Source organism: Homo sapiens, chromosome 1 (assembly GCF_000001405.40).
Source record: "Homo sapiens chromosome 1, GRCh38.p14 Primary Assembly".
Classification (NCBI taxonomy): domain Eukaryota; kingdom Metazoa; phylum Chordata; class Mammalia; order Primates; family Hominidae; genus Homo; species Homo sapiens.
In genome coordinates this window covers 1084470-1098040 of record NC_000001.11, presented here as the reverse complement: position 1 = coordinate 1098040, position 13571 = coordinate 1084470, and the positions used below count along the sequence as shown (strand labels likewise).

General features: G+C 58.2%; 1 protein-coding gene across 3 annotated transcripts in view, besides 1 other annotated feature; it reads left to right on the top strand.

Annotated features, from left to right (window-relative positions):
- C1orf159 (chromosome 1 open reading frame 159) overlaps positions 1 to 13571 on the top strand; it is a 34267-nt gene that overhangs the window by 18049 nt on the left and 2647 nt on the right. For 2 of the 3 annotated variants that reach the window (NM_017891.5, NM_001363525.2), the window contains 7 exons: positions 5938 to 6050; positions 6476 to 6569; positions 7613 to 7688; positions 10444 to 10539; positions 10837 to 10902; positions 12029 to 12163; positions 13535 to 13560. In NM_017891.5, coding sequence (NP_060361.4) covers positions 6498 to 6569; positions 7613 to 7688; positions 10444 to 10539; positions 10837 to 10902; positions 12029 to 12163; positions 13535 to 13560 — 471 coding nt within the window. In that variant the 5' untranslated portion in view covers positions 5938 to 6050; positions 6476 to 6497. Of the gene's footprint in view, positions 1 to 5937; positions 6051 to 6475; positions 6570 to 7057; positions 7166 to 7612; positions 7689 to 10443; positions 10540 to 10836; positions 10903 to 12028; positions 12164 to 13534; positions 13561 to 13571 lie in introns of all 3 variants that reach the window. The other variant, NM_001330306.2, reaches the window with a different exon arrangement.
- Positions 5046 to 5095: an enhancer, noted in NCBI's record as "active region_12". NCBI's record gives its function as "activates an Ori minimal core promoter by ATAC-STARR-seq in GM12878 lymphoblastoid cells {active_cell/tissue: GM12878}" and the evidence as "EXISTENCE:reporter gene assay evidence [ECO:0000049][PMID:35858748]".

The following is a 13571-nucleotide window of genomic DNA, read 5'->3' as shown; positions in this document are numbered from 1 at the left end:
AAAAAATATTTCCAACTGAATAATAATGAAAATATAACATCAAAATTGTTGGTGTAGCTAAAGCAATACTTAGAACTCTGTAACTAAGTGCGTGTAAAGGCATGAAAGCAGAGACCTAAGATTCACTCCCAGAAGCCAGGGAAAAAAGAACAAAGCCAAAAAAGGGAAATAAAGACAAATACAGAAATCAGTGGCATAGAAAGCATGAGAAAAATGGAGAAACTTAACAATATCAAAAGCTGATTTTTTCCCTAAAAGATTGGAAAGATTGACAAACCTCTACTAAGAATGGTCAATTTTAAGAAAGAAGAAAGAGCCAGGTGAGGTGGGTGGTTCACGCCTGTAATCCCAGCACTTTGGGAGGCATAGGTGGGAGGACTGCTTGAACCCAGGAGTTTAAGACCAGCCTGGGAATCAGAAGGAGACCCCATCTCTACAAAAAAAAAAAAAAAAAAATTTAATGAGCTGGGTGTGGTGGCTCGAGCCTGTAGTCCTGGCTAGTCAGAAGGCTGAGGTGGGAGGATCGCTTGAGCCCAGGAGGTTGAGGCTGCAGTGAACTGTGATCACACCACTGCACTCCAGCCCAGGCGACAGAGAGAGACCTGTTTGAAAAGCAAACAAACAAATAGAAAGATAGGCCAAGCACGGTGGCTCACACTTGTAATCCCAGCACTTTGGGATGCCAAGGTGGGCGGATCACTTGAGGTCAGAAGTGAGACCAGGCTGGCCAACATGGTGAAACCCTGTCTCTACTAAAAATACAAAAATTAGCCAGGCATGGTGGTGGGTGCCTGTAATCCCAGCTGCTCAGGAGGCTGAGGCACAAGAATCGCTTGAACCCGGGAGGCAGAGGTTGCAGTGAGCCGAGATCATGCCACTGCACTCCAGCCTGGGCAACAGAGTGAGACTCGGTCTCAAAAGAAACAGATAGCACAAATCACCAATATCAAGAACAAAAGAGGCATTATTTCTAAGGATCCTATAGACATAGTAATAGACTATTGCCATCTCTGGTGGCTCACACCTGTAATCCCAGCACTTTGGGAGACCGAGGCAGGAGGATTGTTTGAGCCCAGGAGTTCAAGACCAGCAACATCATGCTTCAGTTTTGTTTCATAGCGAGACCCTGTCTCTACAAAAAATCAAAAAATTAGCCAGGTGTGGCAGCACTTGCTTGTGTTCCAGCTACTTGGGAGGCTGAGGTGGGAGGATGGCCTGGGCCTGGGAGACTGAGGCTGTGGTGAGCTGAGGTCACACCACTTTGCTCCAGCCTGGGTGACAGAGTGAGGCCATGTCTCAAAATAATAGGAGACTATGATGAACAATTTTAGGCCAGTAAATGTAGCAATTTCAATGCAATGGATAAACTCTTGGAAGAATATAACTTGTCAAAAGCAATGGAAATCTGCATGGTCCTCTTTCTGTTCAGGAAATTGAATTAATTACCGGAGAACCTACCTACCAAGAAAACTCCTGCAAATATACATGGTTTCCTGGTGAATTCTATCAAACATTCAAAGAAGAAATCACAATATTCTTACACAAACTCTTTCAGAAAATAAAAGAGGAGGGGGAACGGGTGCTGTGGCTCCCACGTGTAATCCCAGCACTTTGGGAGGCTGAGGCAGGAGGATCACCTGAGGCCAGGAGTTCGAGACCAGCCTGGACAATATAGTGAGACCCTGTGTACAAAAAAAATTATACCTGTAGCCCCAGCTACTTGGGAGGCTGAGGTGGGAGGATCCCTTGATCCCAGGAGCTCAAGGCGGCAGTGAGCCATGATCGCACCACTACACTCCAGCCTGGCAACAGAGTGAGACCCTGTCTCTCTTTAAAAAAAGGAGGGCCTATTTCCCAGCTTGTTTTATGAGGCAATATAATCCAATACCAAAACCTGACAAAGACACCTAAAAAAAATTATAGACCACTATCCTTCATGAACACAGGCAAAAATCCTTACGAAGGTATTGGCAGGTGAAATCCAACAATAGCCTAAGAGGGCAGTACACCTCGGCCAAGTGTGGTTTATCCTAGTGATACAAGGTTGTTTTGATTCATAAATGAATCTTTGTCGTCACCATATTACTAGAATAAAGAAGGAAAGGATGATCACTGAAATAGATGCAGAAAAGACATTTGGAAACATTTATACCTGTTTTATGATTTTTTTAAAAAAACCTCAGTAAACTAAGAATAGAAGGAAACTCCCTGAGTCTGATAAATGAACATCTATGAAAAACCTACACTAGACGTTGTACTTTTGATGGCGAAATATTGAGCATTTTATCCCTAAAATCAAGAACAAGGATGACACCCATTCTCACTCTTCTGTCCAACATTATACTCAAAGTCCCAGCCACTGCAATAAGGTAAGAAAAAAGGCAAATTGAAGTCACAAGGATTAGAAAGGAAGAAGTAAACTGTATTTATTTGTAGATGACATGATTATTTATGCAGAGGGTCCTAAGAAAGCTACAGAGAATTGCTAGAACTATTAAGTGAATTTAGCAAGATTTCAGATATCAAGGCTAAGGTGCAAAGTTTATCGTTATATAGTAGCAGCAAACTATCGGAACATGAAATCAGAAATTACATTCTATTTGTAATAACAAAAAGTAAAATCTTAGTAATTATCTTAACAAAAGATATACAAGACCTGTTCACTGAAAACTATAAACACTGCTGAGATAAATTGAAGAAGATGCGGAGGGATGAAGAGAGACAGCATGTCCGTGATGAAAAGACTCAATCCTGTTAAAACATCGGCTCTGCCAGTCAAAATCGCAGCAGGCTTTTTTGTAGGAATTGACACAATGAGTCTAAAATGGAAACACATGTGACCTGGAATTGCCAAAGCAATTAATCAAAGTGGAGCTGATACGTGCCCTGATTTCAAAGTTTCTATTCTACTTACAGCTTCAGTAATCCAGTCAGCCGCAGTGTCCCTGAAGAATAGACACACAGGTGAGTGGAACAGAATAGAAAGACTGGAAATAGACCCCACCTCTATAGTCCATTGATTTTCAATGAAGATGTCAACGTAATTCCACATGGAAAGAAAAGTCTTTTTAGCAACTGTTTATACATAAGGAAAGAAATGACGCTTGACCTGCATTTCACCATACACAAAGGTGACTCAGAATGCAAAAGCTAAAACTGTAACACTTCTGGAAGAAAGCAGTAAATCTTAGTGACCATGAGGTCAAGGCAGAGATTTCTTAGGACATAAAAAACAAGAACCACAAAAGGAAAAATGGATGCATTCAATTTTATTAAAAATTTCATTAAAATTAAAAACATTTGCTCTTCAAAAGATGTCCATAAAAAAATGATAAGACGGGGGCCGGGCAAGGTGGCTCATGCCTGTAATCCTAGCACTTTGGGAGGCCAAGGCAGGCGGATCACAAAGTCAGGAGATCGAGACCATCCTGGCCAACATGGTGCAACCCCGTCTCTACTAAAAATACAAAAAATTAGCCGGGCGTGGTGGCGGGCACCTGTAGTCCCAGCTACTCAGGAGGCTGAGGCAGGAGAATGGTGTGAACCCAGAAGGCGGGGCTTGCAGTGAACTGAGATCACGCCACTGCACTCCAGCCTGGGCGACAGAGACTCCAATTCAAAAAAAAAAAGATGATAAGACAAACCACAGGATGGAAGAAAATATTTGCAATACATAAGTCTGATGAAGAATATGTGTTTTAGCTGAGCGTGGTGGTGACGCACACCTCTAGTCTCAGCTACTCGAGAGGCTGAGGTAGGAGGATCACTTAAGCCCCGGAGGTCAACATGGCAGCATGCACCTGTAGTCTCAGCTACTCGGGAGGCTGATGTAGGAGTATCGCGTAAGCCCTGGAGGTCAAGGCTGCAGTGAGCCACGATCCCACTACTGCACTCCAGCCTGGGCAACAGAGTGAAACCCTATGCCCCCCACCCCTGCCAAAAAAAAAAAGGTATATGTTGCAACTCCACCCAATTAAACAAAATGGGCAGAAGATGTGAGTAGGCACTTCAGAAAGAAGATATATAAGTGGCTAATAAACACATGGAAAGATGCCATCATTAGTCTTCAGGGAAATGCAGATTGTAACGACACAGAGATACTCCTGCACATGCACGGACACCCTGCGTGCACCCACATCGCCAGTGGGAGGGTATACAGCACAGCCACTGTGGAAGACGGCTGCAGTTCCTTAGAAAGTTAAACGTGCACCTCCCTGTGAGCCAGCCACTCTGCTCCCAAGAGAAATGAAGACAGATGTCCACATGATGACATGTGCCAGGACCTTGGCCGCAGCTCCATCCAGTCACCAGGAACTGGGAGCAGCCCAGGCACCCACTGGCAGGTGATGGGCAAAGGCGGTGACGTTTGGCCAACACAGTGGAAAATCCTCCGACTGTGGAAAGGAAGAAAGTGCGGATAAAACAACATGGAAGGATCTAAAGGTCAGTGTGTGCAACCCCTTTGTGTAAGACCCTAGAAGATACAGCTGCAGTCTGGTCAGCTCCTGGCTGCCGGGAGCCCGGGCTTGTGGGGGCCGCAGCGAGTGCTGGCAGCTGTGTGGGACCGGGCACCGTCCTGGCTGTGGTGGCAGCTTCAAGGGGGTGGTCACACTCACCCGCTTGTGTACTTTACACGGATGTGGTTTATTGTATGTAAAGTAGATCTCCATGAAGTTGACTAAATAGCAGATGAAAGTGTTGATTGAAATCTTGGACTTCTGGTTCCTGAATCAAAATGATGTTTTGTGACTTAATGTGGCCCTCAGGATGCCCTTTAACCAGAGAGGGAGCAGAAGGGTCTGTGATGTCTGGAGTTTTCCACTGAGCAGGGGAAGACGGTCTCTGCTGGGCAAATGTTAAAGGGACAAAAGGACAAACTAAGACTTGATTGCACTCTGTGGGTGGGGCGAGCAGCATGTCTGTGACTTCAACACGTTCCATCTGAAAGGATTTCACATCAGAGAGGAGGAGCTGAATCAGAGGAGAGCATGCTTTTTTTTTTTGAGACGGAGTTCCCCTTGCACAGGCTGGAGTGCAGTCTCCGTTCACTGCAGCCTCCACCTTCTGGGCTCAGGTGATCATCCCACCTCAGCCTCCTGAGTAGCTGGGACCTCAGGCTCCCACCACCAGGCTCGACTAATTTTAAACTTTTTGTAAAGACGGGCTGTGTTGCCCAGGTGGGTCTCCAACTCCTGAGCTCAAGCATTCCGACCACCCCCACCTTCCAGAGTCCTCCGGCAGGCTCACACCTGGGCAGCCTGGTCAGTTTGTGAGGCCATGACCTGAATCCAGCATGGAATGGGTGACAGAGTGGACCGTCCCTGTGCGGAGAGTGGACCGTCCCTGTGCAGAGACTGGAGCTGTGTCCTCCAGGGCCTCCGTCTCCCTGCTGCTCACAGCCCTTGTCCCAGGACCCCGGCCTAGGCCCATCAAGAGGAGCCCCACAGGCCTGGCTGGGCCTCAGCCCCCCTCGGGGTAACTTGCCAGGGAGGCCCCTGAGCCAGTGCAGTGACACCACTTGAGGATTTGTGCGCCTGGCAGGCGTTTCCTCCCTTAGGAAGGCAGGGCCATGGTAACAGGTCCTGTGGCTGGAAGTGCAGGGGGGAGAGAGGGGGTTTGTGCGGGAGGACCGGTGTCCACCAAGTGCAGCCTGGGCCACTGAGCTCCGTACCTGGTCCCTGAGCAAAGGCCGGGCCGAGGGCCCGTATCCCAGCGAGGGCCTGTATCCCAGGCACTCTCACCCGCAGGAGGCCAGGAGGCCAGCTCGGGGGAAACACTCGTGGAGACAGCCCCTCCAGGACGCCCTGCTCGACAGCCAGGGGCCGGCAAGGGTGTGGACAGAGGGCCCGGACCGGACCCAGACCCCGCACCGTAGGCCACGGCCCACCTGGGTTGCCCTCGCGTGACCACGGCCTCACCTGCTGTCTTCATCTGCAGGACTGGGCCGGGGTCTGCAGGGCTCAGCTGAGCCCATGAGCTCCCAGAGCTAACCCCTGAACACCCAGGCGGGCAAAGGGCTGATGTCGGTAGTCCCCATCCTGGAGGGGCAGGTAAGGCCCTGCCTACACCTCGCCCCACCCGTGCCTCCAAAGGCCCCAAGCCTTCACTCTTTCACCCCACCTCCATTTGGCTCCACCTTCCCTGTCGTGGCCCTGCACCCCTGCCACGGCCCTGCCCCATCTCCATTTAACTCAGTCATCTGCCGCGGCCCCGCCCCACCCCATCTCCATTTGGCCCCACCCTCCCTGCCACAGCCCCGCCCACTTCCATTTGGCCCCACCCTCCACCACAGCCCCGCCCACTTCCATTTGGCCCCACCCTCCACCACAGCCCCACCCATCTCCATTTGGCTCTGCCCTCCTTGCCTTGGCCCGCACCCCCCCAACATCTCTTGACCCCACTTTCATTTGGCCCCACCCACCCTGCCTCAGCCCCACTCCATCTCTTTGGCTCCGCATGCTCCTCCCTGTGGCAGGCTCTGCGCATCTGCTCCTGGCATGGCGCTGCGGCACCTCGCCCTCCTGGCTGGCCTTCTCGTGGGAGTCGCCAGCAAGTCCATGGAGAACACGGTAGGTGCCCCCCTCACGTGTCCACGCGGCCTAAGCCAGAGCCTCTGTGGAGGGCGGTGGGCCCTTCCCCTAGAGGGTCTAACCCTTCCACCTTTAGGACACTGATGTCCCAGCCCCAGAGGTGCTGACCAGGTCCACTGCTGGGGTCAGAGGGGCCTGTGCCTCGCAGAGGGGAGCCCTCCGCTGCCTGCTGGGTGAGCGCCTGCTCAGGAATGGCTGGGTCAGGCGGGGCCCCCACGGTGAGGCATCCTGGCCCGCAATGGGAGCACCTCTGCCAGCGGTGACAGCACAGCGTGCCGCGCATCGCTATCGGGGAGTGTAGCTGCGGCGGCTCCAGACTCCCAGGCGGAGCGGGTGGAGGGTGGGGACCCCTCACTGTCCTGGCTGGGGCGTTTGAGGGACCGGACCTGGGCCCCTCCCTGGCGGTGTGGATTCTATCCCGCACTCCGCAGTCACCCCTGGACGCCCTCACCGTTCACTGCATTCAGGTCACGAGAAACAGCACAGCTGTGATCAACACACAAGCTGAGGGTACCCTGAGCCCCCCAGGCCTGTCCAGTCTGCCTGTGGTCAGGGAATGGGCCCTCACACACACCGTAAGTGCCAGCACCCAGCGCACCTGTGCAGTACCTGGGCACCTGGGCGTGAATTCGTCCCCTGAAATGCCAGCCAGGCCCGGGCACTTCCTCTGTGGGGTCAAGCGGAAACCCCTGATGGAGAGCCTCCGGAGACTTGCAGAGAATGTCGGTGGCGCTGCCATGGCCTGCGGGTGCCGCCTCCTGGGGGTGGTTTACTCTTCCAGGCCCAGCTTTTCCTTGGAGACCGCCCACCCAGGGTCCCACAGGGATGTGCACTGTGGCTGTGAGGCCCCTCCTTGCTCCCAGGCCCACAGGGGACAGAGGGCCACCCGATGCTGACTCCAGAAGAGGCCGGAGCTGCGGACATTGAGATGTGCTCCCACGGCACCCCTCAGCCGCTGCTGCTCTGGGCGTGAGCCTGCCTGGCAGGCGCGTCCTGGAGTTTCACTGCCGTGTCCCCTCCAGGCCCAGCTGCCCGAGTGCTGTGTGGATGTGGTGGGCGTCAACGCCAGCTGCCCAGGCGCAAGTCTGTGTGGTCCAGGTAAGCCGCTTTGTCCCAAGCAGATTCCAGACCGGCCCCTGAGCCACTGGTGTGTGTGTGCCCAGGGCCCTCCCCTCGGTGACAAGGACAGTGCTCATCTGTGCTGCGGGACCTGGGGAGTGGATGGGGCAGTGAGGGCTGTGGAGCTTGGGGAAGGACATCTGAGCCTCCTTTCTGGCGGGCGGCCTTGAGCGGCAGCCTCATGAGAAGACTGGCCCAGCAGAGGGCTGGGAGCAGAGGCAGGAGCTGAGATCAGAAAGGTGCCTGGAGAAGGGTCTGGGGGAGTGGCCCATGAGCTCAGCCATTCTCACGGGGCTGTCCTGGCTCCAGGGGCCTCTGGCAAAGCCCAAGACATTTTTGCCTGTCCGTGCTCGGGCAGAGGTGCTGCTGGCCCCTGGTGCGTGGAGTGGAATGCCAATCAACAGGACGCCACGAGGATGCCGGCCTGTGTCAGCGTGCCACGGGCAGGCCCTGTTCATCAGAGGTTCTGGGAGGCTGCGGAAGGGACTGTCTGGGGGCAGCTGGGTGTCAGGAGGTTGAGGCTGGTGAGGGCAGCCAGTGGGAGCAGCCAGGGGAGGGGAGGACAGAGTGAGAAGGTGCAAGGGCCACTCCTTGGCGGCCCTTGGTGAACTTGGGGCTGAGATGCCCCAGCTGTACCTCCAAGGGCCTTGGCACTCCCATCCTGGGGGTCCAGCCCTCCCATGATGGAAGAACCCAGAAGGGCTGCTCCTGGGGACTCAGGGGCCTCGTGAGGAGGGCGTGGTCAAGACGGCGGCTGTGGCAGCCAGTGAGGCTGGGCGCGGGGGTCCGAGGCTGGGCGTGGGGGTTGGGGAGCCCACAGGAAGGCAGTGATGACATCTGAGGCACACGCAGGGTAGGAGGAGGAGGGCACCGCTCTGAGGGAGAACAGAGGGGCTGGGAGGAAGCTGAGCACCTTGGGGTCCTCATCGTCTGATGCTGAAGCCCTGGTGGCTGGGTGAGAACCACTCCCCTGGCACCCCATGGCAGCAAGAGTGCTGGGGCCGTGGCGTCTCCTGTGAGGGATTGTGTACCCCAGGCACTCTGTGGGTGCAGGCAGCTGTGCAGCAGTCACGGTGCCCATGGAGGGGCCAGGCCAGCGGGTCGTGAAGTCCAAGGGCCGAGGTGGCCCCATGCACAGGCGCAGGGTGGGGACCGTCTGGCGCGCGTGGGGAGGGGCCGGGCCTGCGGTGTTGGATACGCTTCCCCCTGCGTGCGGCCCCAAGCCAGGTCACGTCTCCGCTCGGGGAGGCAGCGGGCACTTCTGGGGACAGTGCTGCGCTGGTGTTTGGCTCCCTGCCGTGGACTCCGTTCTTCGGCCTCCGGGGCAGAGACTCTCAGACAGAGCCTCGCTGAAGTCGCCCGAGCCCTGTGCCAGGAGATGCCGGGAGACAGAGGCTGCCCCCAGTGCTGGGAGAGCGCAGCTCCACCCTGGTAGGACTGAGCGGGTGGACTTCCATTCTTCCAAGAGGTGTGTCTGCAGAGTGACCCCTGTCACAACCGTGCCGGGGTCTCAGGCCCACTCTCCACCGCGGGGTCCCCGTGTCGCCGCGGCCCGTTTGTATTCAGATCAGTCTGTGAGGAAGGGTCGAGGCGTGTGGTCCACCCGTGGCCCGCACCAGCAGCCGCACCGCAGTCGGCATCAAGAGTGTGTCTACTCAGCTCTGGGCTGAGTGTTGGAGATATTTAGAAAGTCAAGGAGTAAAAGTCAATTCCTGTCCTTAAAGGCGCCCTGGCCGGTGGGCGGAAATGAGGCTTCAGGCGCAGCGTCGGCCTGGCGGGGGGATGAGGCTTGGTTCTGCAGGATCCCCCGAGAGAGACCCGGGGGAGGGTGCCAGGGTGTGGAGGTGACAGATGGACCAAGGGTCGGGATCAGCTTGGGGCAGGAGGCTGTGCTGCTGGCGGGTGGGCCTATCCTGCTTGGGCGGCATGAGGGAACACGGGGTGCGAGGCAGCCGCTCCAGGCACTGCAGATGGGGGTCTTGGGGGAGGCGTGGGGGGTCCTGGGGGAGGCCGTGGGGGGGTCCTGGGGAGGCGTGGGAGGGTCCCAGGGAGGCGTGGGGAGGTCCCGGGGAGGCGTGGGGGACCCTGGGGGAGGCATGCGGGGGTCCTGTGGGAGGCCATGGGGGGGGGGTCCTGGGGGAGGCCGTTGGGGGATCCTAGGAGAGGCGTGGGGGGGGTCTTGGGGGAGGCCTGGGGCAGGCGTTGCAGTGGGGGTTCTTGGGGAGTCTGTGGGGTGAAGGCTGGGTGGTGGAAGCCGGGCCCAGCCTGCAGTCCTGCAGAGCACGAGTCCCTCCAACAGGCCTGTTCATTCTGGATGCTGCCGCCTACCACTCTCTGAAGTACGCAGTGTGGAGTACTCAGGGTCGGGGTGCTCAGGGCCGGGGTGCTCGGCGTGGAGTGCAGCGTGGAGTACTCGGGGCTGGGGTGCTCGGCGTGGAGAGTGCAGCGTGGAGTACTCGGGGCCGGGGTGCTCGGCGTGGAGAGTGCAGCGTGGAGTACTTGGGGTCGGAGTACTCAGGGTCAGGGTGCGCAGTGTGGAGTACTCAGCGTGGGGTGCTCACGGCCCCGCCATGCTCCCTGGGGGTGTCCTTGTCTGCCGCCCACCTACCCTCCAGAGCATGTTAGTATCTGGAATGAAAGTTATCTCACCAACTCAAATAGAGAATCATTCCCAGGAGACCCAGCTGGTGTGGATTTTGCTTTGGCTGACATGCCCGTCCTCTGCCCCACGCAGGCTGTTACAGGCGCTGGAACGCGGACGGGAGCGCCAGCTGCGTCCGCTGTGGGAACGGAACCCTCCCAGCCTACAACGGCTCCGAGTGTAGAAGCTGTAGGTCTGCCCGGCTCCCCCCGGCTCCCTTCTCACAGCTCCAGCTGTGGGAGACACTGTGGGAGTTGCTGTCTGTGTCCCCACCTTGCCCCAGAGCCACTGTCCACTGGGGAACAGCCCCGGGAGCCCCCTCTTCCCGAGTCTGCTGGGCCATTCGGGACAGCTCTGTGGTGAGGGCTGCTCCGCCCCCTCAGCCCCTCGCTTTCATATTTCCGTCCTGAGATCCCTTCAGGGTGCACGTGGGTGTCCCCGTGGGCTCCGTGCACACAGGCTTCCCACAGTTCTGCTATCCCACAGTTGCTGGCCCGGGTGCGCCATTCCCCATGAACAGAAGCTCAGGGACCCCCGGGCGGCCACATCCTGGTAAGTCTCAGCAGGCCACAGCCACCTCTGCCGGTGTCCTGGGGGCTGGGGGCCGTCGGAGCCAGTGCAGACCCTCACCCTTGACGCAGCCACAGCAGGCTCAGGGTTCTGCAAAACAGCCAGAGGGGAGCGTGGCAGCCCCTGCAGCTTGGGGTCAGCTGGTGTGGGTGGGGGATGTGGGGCGTCATGGGGGGCTCTGCCACATCTCTAAAGGGCCGTAGTTAGGGGAGGCCCTGATGGCCACACCGCACTCTCTCAGGGTCACACAGCTCACAGCCACACGCTCTCAGGTTCACACTCATGGCTCACGGCCACACCGCACGCTCTTAGGTTCACACTTAAGGCTCACACTCACGGCTCACGCTGACACCACACACTCTCAGGTTCACGCTCACGGCCACACTGCACGCTCTCAGGTTCACACTCACGGCCCTGAGCTGGCCTGGGTCCATTGCTGACCTGAGTGGCAGTGTTTTAGGGTGGGGTTGGCCTGGATGGGCTCCTGGCCTCCTGTGGCTCTGTGCTGGGGCAGGAAGGAGCGAGGCCCCCAAGCCTGGCAAACACGCCTGTGTCTCAGGGTTGGGGAGTCTCCTCCCCAGCATCTCAGAGCACACCCAGCAGCCATTGCCAACTGTCCCGAGCCCCAGGCCAGCAGCCCTGGCCTGTCCTGGCCCAGGCAGGTGGAGGTGAGTGGGGTGCAGGAGCACCTGCTGCCAGCTTGAGGCTCTGCCCTGTGTGGGGGCCCCAGGGCCTGTGCTGAGCCCGGAGGAAGGAACAAGGCTGAGAACCCCCTGGCTTTCAGGGGCAACTGGAATCGGAGAGGTGTTTCCGCAGAGCCCGGCCAGGGTCAGCCCCTGTAACGCTCCCAACATCCGAGCTCCTGAGAGAAGCTGAGGCCGGGGCAGGTGGTAACTTTCCCAGACCCCGCGGCCAGATGCCCAGGCATGGCTGAGCCTGCAGGGATGACCCAGGCCCATGTGCAGAGCCCTCGGCACCCACAGCCGGTCCCGTGAGGCTCAGGCATGTTCAGAGAGCAGCGCATCTGCCATGTGCAGGGGGCACCGGGGGCCAGGCGAGGAGCCAGGGCCACCGTCCTGCCCGTCTGCTCAGCGGTGTCTGTTTGCAGGGGCTCCGCGCGTGGCCGCCTCCCTCTTCCTGGGCACGTTCTTCATTAGCTCCGGCCTCATCCTCTCCGTAGCTGGGTTCTTCTACCTCAAGCGCTCCAGTAAACTCCCCAGGGCCTGCTACAGAAGAAACAAAGGTATCTCCCGGACCAGCACCTGCCCCACGGGAGGGCACAGGGCAGGCGGCATCCAGCCGTGGAGATGGGCCTGAGACTGGAGTGTCCCAGGCCAGAGCAGGCTGGCAGAGGCCGGGAGGGAGCAGGGCCTGTCCTGTGGCTTTTGGGTCCCGGTGTGAGAAGGCCCGTCACTTCCCGGAAACAGCCGTGTGTGGATTTGAAGGGTCGAAGCACCAAGGGGCCTTCCTCGGGGCCCAGAACCTCTGCTGGAGCCCTCTTCCGGCAGAGGCGTCTCCCCGGGGCCCTCAGGGCATCACGAGGGGCGAGTGGAGCGGGGCTGGGTGGCTCTCGGCAGTTGGACTTGCCTGGGCTCCTCCAGCAGCCATGGTCCCCCCTCCCCTCTCCTGGGGTCAGGGCTGGCCAGGCTGGTGCAGGGCCCACACCCCAGCCTACGCCACGCCGTACACACGGTCACCCCGGGCCTGGGCACTGACCCCTTCCCACTGGAGAGACGGCCTTGTGACTGTGGTGCCTTCAGGCGGGGGCGGGTTCTGAGCAGGGTCCGTGGTGCCTGCCCTCGTTGTCCAGGGCCGGCCCCCGCAGGGTCCCTGCCAGGCAGATGGTCCAGCCAGCAGTTCGGACCCCAAGGTGAGCACTTGGCCAGACTGTGATAGCCGAGCTGGGGCCTCCTCCCAGGTCTCTGGGCAGCCCCACCTGGCTGCTGTGAGACCCCTGTCCATCCCCCTCAACCTCTCTCGGGGTCTCAGGGCCCAGCCTCCAGTCGGGAGCCCGCTGCCAGGGTCTCCTGCACAGCCAGGCACCGAGAGACCCGGCCTGCTCAGCATCTCTGCCTATGGGCACCCTTGGAGCAGAGCAGGGCTCAGGGCTTGGTCAGCCCTGGTGGCCACGGGACGAGAAGCCAGGTTGGCCACGATGCCACGGCACCCCCATCGCGGGGGCACCATGGAGGCAGAAGCCCACGGCCGTGGGGCTCAAAGCCACCTCGTGCCTGAGGCTCCTCCCGGGAGGGTGGGAGGGCAGCCCTTCCCCTGGGACCCTGGAGCCTGGGGAGACGCTTCTCATGAGGGGGGCTTGTCCCCTCTGCTGAGGCGGGAAGGTGGGTCCAGGGAGCGGGGACTCACCTGGGGTGCTAGGGAGGCCCCCGCACCTGTGAGTGCCCCGGAGGAATGTGGCAGGACCGAGGGCCAGGCTGATGCACCGCAGGGAGAGGTTGGGGGAGACCCTGCAGCCCCGGGGCCTCTGCTGCTCCGAGGACGCCGCACTGGGCTGAGGCTGAGGCAGCTCCTCGCTCTGCTGTCCCGGACGCTGCACTGGGCTGAGGTTGAGGCAGCTCCTGGGCTCCAGGGTGACTCTCCGCTTTCTCCCCCACAGCTCCGGCCCTGCAGCCTGGCGAAGCCGTAAGTAACCC